The sequence below is a fragment of the Homo sapiens genome, chromosome 2 (genome assembly GCF_000001405.40).
Source record: "Homo sapiens chromosome 2, GRCh38.p14 Primary Assembly".
In the NCBI taxonomy this organism is placed as follows: domain Eukaryota; kingdom Metazoa; phylum Chordata; class Mammalia; order Primates; family Hominidae; genus Homo; species Homo sapiens.
Window position 1 is genome coordinate 58,251,429 of NC_000002.12, and position 8,807 is coordinate 58,260,235.

The 8,807-nt window shown below is 41.1% G+C and overlaps 1 pseudogene, besides 1 other annotated feature; it reads left to right on the forward strand.

The window, feature by feature from the left end:
- Nucleotides 1–1,246, forward strand: EIF3FP3 (eukaryotic translation initiation factor 3 subunit F pseudogene 3; annotated as a pseudogene).
- Nucleotides 188–728: an enhancer, noted in NCBI's record as "H3K27ac-H3K4me1 hESC enhancer chr2:58478751-58479291 (GRCh37/hg19 assembly coordinates)". NCBI's record gives its function as "activates a minimal SCP1, AML or CMV promoter by ChIP-STARR-seq in naive H9 embryonic stem cells {active_cell/tissue: H9 hESC(naive)}" and the evidence as "EXISTENCE:reporter gene assay evidence [ECO:0000049][PMID:30033119]".

An 8,807-nucleotide genomic window follows, 5' to 3' on the forward strand; every position in this document is an offset into this window, starting at 1 on the left:
TTCTCGACAAGATGGCCACACCGGCGGTACCAGCAAGTGCTCCTCCGGCCACGCCAGCCCCAGTCCCGGCGGCGGTCCCAGCCTCTGCCCCAGCCTCAGTTCCAGCGCCAACGCCAGCACCGGCTGCGGCTCCGGTTCCCGCTGCGGCTCCAGCCTCATCCTCAGACCCTGCGGCAGCATCGGCTACAACTGCGGCTCCTGGCCAGACCCCGGCCTCAGCGCAAGCTCCAGCGCAGACCCCAGCGCCCGCTCTGCCTGGTCCTGCTCTTCCAGGGCCCTTCCCCGGCGGCCGCGTGGTCAGGCTGCACCCAGTCATTTTGGCCTCCATTGTGGACAGCTACGAGAGACGCAACGAGGGTGCTGCCCGAGTTATCGGGACCCTGTTGGGAACTGTCGACAAACACTCAGTGGAGGTCACCAATTGCTTTTCAGTGCCGCACAATGAGTCAGAAGATGAAGTGGCTGTTGACATGGAATTTGCTAAGAATATGTATGAACTGCATAAAAAAGTTTCTCCAAATGAGCTCATCCTGGGCTGGTACGCTACAGGCCATGACATCACAGAGCACTCTGTGCTGATCCATGAGTACTACAGCCGAGAGGCCCCCAACCCCATCCACCTCACTGTGGACACAAGTCTCCAGAACGGCCGCATGAGCATCAAAGCCTATGTCAGCACTTTAATGGGTGTCCCTGGGAGGACCATGGGAGTGATGTTCACACCTCTGACAGTGAAATACGCATACTATGACACTGAACGCATCGGAGTTGAGCTGATCATGAAGACCTGCTTTAGCCCCAACAGAGTGATTGGACTCTTAAGTGACTTGCAGCAAGTAGGAGGGGCATCAGCTCGCATCCAGGATGCCCTGAGTACAGTGTTGCAATATGCAGAGGATGTACTGTCTGGAAAGGTGTCAGCTGACAATACTGTGGGCCGCTTCCTGATGAGCCTGGTTAACCGAGTACCGAAAATAGTTCCCGATGACTTTGAGACCATGCTCAACAGCAACATCAATGACCTTTTGATGGTGACCTACCTGGCCAACCTCACACAGTCACAGATTGCCCTCAATGAAAAACTTGTAAACCTGTGAATGGACCCCAAGCAGTACACTTGCTGGTCTAGGTATTAACCCCAGGACTCAGAAGTGAAGGAGAAATGGGTTTTTTGTGGTCTTGAGTCACACTGAGATAGTCAGTTGTGTGTGACTCTAATAAACGGAGCCTACCTTTTGTAAATTAAAAAAAAAAAAAAAGTAAAGCTTATTGTAAAAAGCTTTATTGTAAACAATTTTATGTAAAAAGCCAAACATTTACAATATGCCTAAAGCATATCCTTTGGAACTAAACTTACAATGAAAAATTTTAGATGTCAACAGAAATATATGCAATCAAAAATATTAATTTAGAGAATATTCATGTAACTGAAAACATTTAAAGACCACTGCTCTGATGCACCGTAATTATTCTTCCATTAGTTTCTATGATAAAACCTGAATGATATAGTGCAGATTAAGGATGCACACTCAGACACATTCAATGAGTCTAAAACAACTACCCTGAGATAAACAATTATAAATAATATTGTCTATTTATCAAAGTTTTTTTCTGTTGAACTTCCATTTGAAAACACTTCATTAGCCTCTTGTTACTGTGGAGTAATGAAACCGAATACCTTTAGGAACACTAATTACTACAGACTGGTAACAAATTCATGCTGAATTTCTGGAATATTTTATTACACCTAAGTTTGCTCTTGCCTTTTTTATTCCTTATTTCTAAGGTCAATAATTCTGAACATCTAAAAATCTCAGAAAGGGCTGGGCATGGCGGCTCATGCCTGTAATCTCAGCATGTTGGGAGGCCGAGGCCGTTGGATTACTTGAGCCCAGGATTTCGAGGTCAGCCTGGCAACGTGGCAACATTTGTCTCTATAAAAAATACAAAAAATTAGCTGGGTGTGATGGTGCATGCTTGTGGTCCCAGCTACTCTGGGGGCTAAGGTGAGAGGATTGCTTGAGCCTAGGAGGCAGAGATTGCAGTGAGCTAAGATTATGCCACTGCACTCCAGCCTGGGTAACAGAACAAGACCCTGTCTCAAAGAAATAAAAATAAAATGAAATAAAAAATAAAAACCCCAGAAGGTAGAAAAAAGTCATTAAAATGAGAAAAAACTTATCAAGAATTAAAGCTTTTAAGCTTTTGGGGAAAAAATGCATTTTAAACTGACTTTTAAAATCTTTGCAACAGCAGTCCAAGTGGATGATTCCAATGGACCAATATGTTAGCATACTTTTATTGTTTAAGAAAAAGGAAAAAGGCTTTTGTGTTAAAAGTAAATTAATTTATCTTATGATATAATCAATTTTCTATGTGCCTCAGATTTGTTTATTACCAAAGTATTTTAAAACCCACATTATTTTGCTATTCTAATTATCTTAAAGTAGACTGTTTTCCAGATGTATACAAAACTTCAACATCAAAGTAACTTAATGCCGGTAAAATAGAAATGTATATCTGATGCAATCAATAATTTCTCTGTACCAAATCTTCCTAATGAACTTATTTCATGAAAAGAAATTCTTTTTTTAGCAACTAAAATGATCTAATGACTACATTTAAATATTTTGACTACTTATCTTTTCAATAATCATGTCTTTTTTTTTTTTTTCTGAGACGGGGTCTTGCTCTTTTGGCTAGGCTGGAGTGCGGTGGCACAGTCAGGCTCACTGCAGCCTCAATCTCCCAGGCTCAGGCAATCCTCCTTCCTCAGCCTCCTGAGTAGCTGGGATCACAGGCGTGGGCCACCACGCCCAACTAATTTTTTTTATTATTTGTAGAGACAGGGTCTCCCTATGGTGCCCAGGCTGGTCTCCAACTCCTCGGCTCAAGCAATCCTCCCAACTCAGCCTCCCAGAGTGCTGGGATTATAGGCATGAGCCACCACGCCGGGCCAGTCTTTTCTATTTAAAACATTACCAAAAATGGACACAGTTAAAATGATCTTAGTCATTGATTTACATAGGAAGAAGGTGGGTTTTTTCTGAATTAGGTAATTGAGACAAAAACAGCACCAATTGGCCTGACTTATCCAAATGGGAAATTTTTTGGTAGAATTTACCTCATGACTGGCAAACTTCTACTTTATCATTTTTAAGGATGAGGTGCTGTGCTGCCCACATTCTCCTCAGGACTGATTGACATTGCCTCACCTGCTGAGAAGGTTGTCCAGCCACAGTGCTCAACTGCCAGCTTTTTCTGTGAATTGACCTTTGCTGAAAAGTGAGCTGAATGCTTAAAGTCAATGCTCAAGTTCCCAGGTTGGCACTGATTTAATGCCTGCCAGTGCAGGAGTAAGAAGGCTGTGCCCCCTCCTTCCAATAGAGAATAACTCTGAAGGGCTATCTCAGCTTCAGATCTCCTTTTACAATCAGATGATGCCTTTTTGTGCCTAAATCCCAGTCCAGCTTCTCCCTCCAGTCATCCCGGCTTCCTTCCCTTTTCCCACAGGTGTTGACTCCACCAGGGGTCCCAAGAAACTTCCTTCTCAGAAACTCTCTTTCTTTCTTTTTTTTTTTTTTCCTTTTGAGACAGGGTCTCACTTTGTTACCCAGGCTGGAATGCACTGGCACCATCATGGCTTACTGCAGCCTCAACCTCCTGGGCTTAAGCAATCTTCCCACCTCAGCCTTCTGAGTTGCTGGGACTACAGGCATGCATCACAACACCTGGTTAATGTTTTATTTGTTGTAGAGGCAGGGTCCCACTATGTTGCCCAGGCTTAACCCAAACCTCTGGGCTCAAGGAAATCCTTCCGCCTCAGTATCCCAAAGTGCTGGGATTACAGGTGTGAACCACCACACCTGGCCTAAACATTCTCTCTCACAGACTGCTTCATAGACAATCCAACCAGTGATGATCATAAAATAATATTTGAATAAATATATTTGCAGGGTAGCTGATGCTGTTGTTTAAGACTAATGATTTAATAAGGGTGATTACTTTCATTTGTATATTTTTCAAAACTCCTTCATATACATTATGTAATTTGGGCTTGCCAATTATTCTGCGAGGTAGCCTGAGCAAGGATTACTATACATTTTACAGTTTTGTAAACTAAGGCTTGGAGAGAAGTGGCTTCTTGATTCCAGGCAGACATAATTTCTATTTTCTCCTAGTTTTATTATTTGCCTATAGCACCGTTTCTCTAAAAGACTTTTATTCCTAATTGTTATAAAATTCTAGCTCAAAATTTCTTATCATATTCCCCAACCCAAGAATGCATAGTAAGTTCCTACTCATCCTGGCAGTATGAAATTCAATGTCATAACTGTATTTGAATGTTTTTCAAGATCTTACTCCCAATTCTTTGTCCACACACTTTATATTGCCTTCTTCCATTTATTTTTTAACGTGTTTATTGAGCAACTGCTGTAAATGCAGCATAACATTTCTTGAGAACTTACTATGTGCTAAGCACTATAGTGAGTGTTTTTCATGCATTATCTCATTGAATCTCTGTTGACAGTTCTATCATCTCCATTATATAAATGAGAAAACTGAGGCTTAGGGAACTTAAATGATTTTCCCAAGGTCACACAACTAGTATGTCACAACACTAGGACTCAAACTTAGGTTTATCTAATTCTGAAATCCATGCTCTTTGCCTCTGTACTAGACCTCTATGATACAAGAAAAAAGATAACATAAGATGTAGCTCCTACTCTCTGCTCTCTAACTACACTCTACTGTGCTCCTACTCTCACTATACTATATAGTGTCTTCCTAATATTAGGAAGACACTATAGCACTTGATTATATTTTTATAACAGTTTTATTGATACATAATTCATATATCATATAACCATCCCTTTAAATTGTATAATTCAAGCATTTTAACTAATTCACAGAGTGGTGCAACCATCATTACCATCAATTTTAGAACATTTTTTATCCCCCCAAAGAAACCCCATACTTATTAACTGTCACTCCCTATTTCCCCTACCTGCACCCCCAGGCAAACAGTAATCTACTTTGTGTCTCTATAGATTTGCCTATTCTCTACATTTCATATAAATTGAATTATACAGTAAGTGGTCTTTTGCAACTGGTTGCTTTCACTTAGCATAATGTTTTCAGGGTTCATCCATGTTGTAGCTCCTATCAGTCCTTCAATTATGATTGAATATTGTTCCATTGTATGGATATGTCATATTTTATTTACTAACCACTTATCAGTAGATGGACATTTTGGTGGTCTCCACTTTTGGGCTATTAAGAATAATGCTGCTAAGAACATTCATGTACAAGATTTATGTGGTTATGTTTTTATTTCTCTAGAGTATATACCTAGAATGTAACTGCTGGGTCATAAAGTAATTCTGGAGATATTTAACCTTTTAAAGAACTGTCATCCTGTTTTCCAAAATGCTGCACTGTTTTACATTCTCACCAGCAGTATATCAGTTCCAATTTCTTCACATACTCCTCAAGAGTTGTTGTTATATCCCTGTTTGATTATAGTCATCTTCGTTGGTGTGAAGTGATGCCTTCAGTGTGGTTTATTTGCATTTTCCCACTGGCTAATGATATTGAGCATCTTTTCATATGCTTATTAGGCATTTGTATACCTTATTTTTAGCTTATGGCTCCCATTATGAGACCTACACGGTATAAGCAAGCTGAAGCGCACGATCAGAGACCCTAATGTTCCGTGCCATGCTGCACCTAGGATAGGACCTATTAGTAGGGGCTAGATGGAGGAAAGGAGTCTGACTTCTTAGGTGCACTCACCAGAATCTAGGCTCTGCAGCTTGGAGCTAGAGGGGATAAGAAATGCCGGTGGCGGCTGGGCGCCGTGGCTCACACCTGTAATCTCAGCCGTTTAGGAGGCGGAGGCGGGTGGATCACGAGGTCAGGAGATGGAGTTCATCCTGGCTAACACGGTGAAACCCTGTCTCTACTAAAAAATACAAAAAAAAAAAAAAAATCAGCCGGGCGTGGTGGCGGGTGCCTGTAGTCCCAGCTACTTGGGAGGCTGAGGCAGGAGAATGGTGTGAACCTGGGAGGCGGAGCTTGCAGTGAGCCAAGATCACACCACTGCACTCCAGCCTGGGCAACAGAGTGAGACTCCGTCTCAAAAAAAAAAAAAGAAAAAAAAGAAATGCCTGTGGCCTGCCTCTCCCAGTGAGATTTTGTACCCATAACTGTGAACTGAGGGGAGAGGGAGCACCATTTTGGTGAAAACCATCCAAAGTAGAGCTTCTGTCATGCTGAGCTAGAAGGCAGAAGAGAAACAATGTGTTATGGCTCAAGTGACACAGATGCCATCATTGCTGAGATTTAGTAGAGTTTCTTGAATAACTGTTTCCTACTTTAAGAAGAAACTGTATGCCCTTAAGACAATTTCCAAAGACATTAAATGTTTTGTTTTGTTTTTTTAAATAATTTTCACCAGTTGTGGTAGTATCACTGGGGAATGGTCTCCAACAGGTTCTCCTGCCTTTTTTCCAGAAGTGGAACTCTCACTTGATTATATTTTTAATGTAAGGAGTTCAGAGAGGGGATCTCGGAAGTCAAACTGAATGAATGGACTTGAGTCCAGACTCTGAAAGTTACTAGTGTATTATTGGGGGAAAATTACTTAACTCCTCTTTCCCCCTATTTTCTTATCTCTTAAATATGGAATAACAAAATATATACCTTTAGGACTGTTGGGAGGATTAATAAGATATATGTAACATGGCTTAGTACATAGCTCTCAATAGATGTTAGCAATTATTAAAAATAATGTTAGTATTATTATAGTTATAATTATTAGGATATCCCACCAGAAATTAAACTTGTAAGGTTTCTTCTTTCTTTCCCATTGAGAGAGATGCCCACAGAGGACAAGTTACTCTGAGGCATTGTGATTAGTTCTACTTTTCAAAGGGAAGTGTTTGGCTTATCTGGAGTCCCATAAGGTTAGCTAAGTCAAAAATGGCTTGGTACATCTACTTTCCTGAAAAGGATATACATGAATTAGATATTTTTTTTCAGAGTCAAAAATGATAGCTATACCATCTGATATGGTTTGGCTGTGTCTCTATCCAAATCATCTTGAACTGTAGTTCCTGTAATCCCCATGTGTTTGTTGTGGGAGGGACCCAGTGGGAGGTAACTGAATTATGGAGGTGGTTACCCTCATGCTGTTCTAGTCATAGTGAGTTCTCACAAGATCTGATGGTTTGATTAGGGGCTTCCCCCTACACTCAGAACTCATTCTCTCTCCTGCTGCCCTGTGAAGAGGTGATTTCCACCATGATTGCAAGTTTCCTGAGGCCTCCCCAGCCATGTGGAACTGCAAGTCAATTAAACCTCTTTCCTTTATAAATTACCCAGTCTCGGGTATGTCTTTTTTAGCAGTGTGAGAATAATACAGCATCCCTGATGATATGTATCTCTAAGGGTAGTCGATACAGGATCACAAGAAGCAGGCAGAAGAACCAGTTCTAATGCCATGATTCTGGGGTGGCTGGAGTGAGGAAGGGAGTGTTTTTTGCCCCATGGACTGGAAGAGCCACACCTTAAAAACTCTGAATCTGGGAACCCAATCAAAGGCACACTGACAGAACTCAGGATTGGCAGGGTGATATTTCTCCCTCTAAGATCTATAGTAGCCTGTGTACAGTGTTTCAACAACAGCAGACCTGAATGCCCTAAAACAATGGTTTTCGACTGGGGCAATGTTGACCCCCAGGGGACATTTGGCAATGCTTGGAGACAGTTTGGTTATCACAACTTGTGTGTGGGGAGTACTACTGGTGTCTAGTAGATAGAAGCCAAGGATGTTGCTAAACATCCTACAACGCACAAAGTGACCTCCCTCAACAAAGAATAATCCCCCCAAAATGTCAAATGTGCCTAGGTTGAGAAACCCTGCACTATAGGGATGTACATTAAGACTCTCCAGATGCCAGGCTTGGTTACTAGCCTTACTTGCGACAATCATCAGACTCTAGGTTCTCCCTGTTTGGTGTGTATGTCAGCCAGGATTGGCTCTGTTTTCCAGTGCTAACGAACAATTCTAAATCTCAGTGGCTTAATACAACAAAATTTATCTCTTGCTCATGCTGCATTCCAACACAGGTTGAAACACCACCACAGCAGCAGAGGGCAGGGAAGGACAAATCAAGTAGTAGGCTTTAAAGGCTTCTTCAGGGAAGTGAAACATGTCATTCCTGCTCACATTTCATTGGTCAAAGCAAGCACCATAGCCACTTCTTTCTTCAGGGGAGCAGAAAAGTACATACCCCTTTGTGCTCAGGAGAACCAGTATATTTGGTTAATAGCTCTAATGACTATCGTAAAGTGACTATCTTTCTGGTTACCCTTTTTAGATTGTGTAAGCCTCTGGAACCTTGGAAAATTAGGAGGAAGGAGCAAGAGGAAAATATTTTTTATTTTTATTTATTGTACATGGTTTTTAAGGTCTACTTTAGGTATTACTTTAGATGTATAATTGTCATCTCAGATTGTCTGTGCCAAAATTGAATCTCCAGAAAATGACCATTTAATAATTCCTGAAGAAATAAGTGACTTAAACAATAAGCCTCAAGAGATGCTTAAACCTCTTTAAGCATGAAAGATTGTAATGAAAGGTAGTAATGAAAGATATATACATATGATACAAAATTGTCAACTTTATAATGGTATAATCAGGACATGACATTCTATAACTAAAAGCAGGACATTATGTGTCAACTGATATGCTGCAATGTAAAGTACAGCACCAAAAATAGATTTGACCTGAATCCAATCAT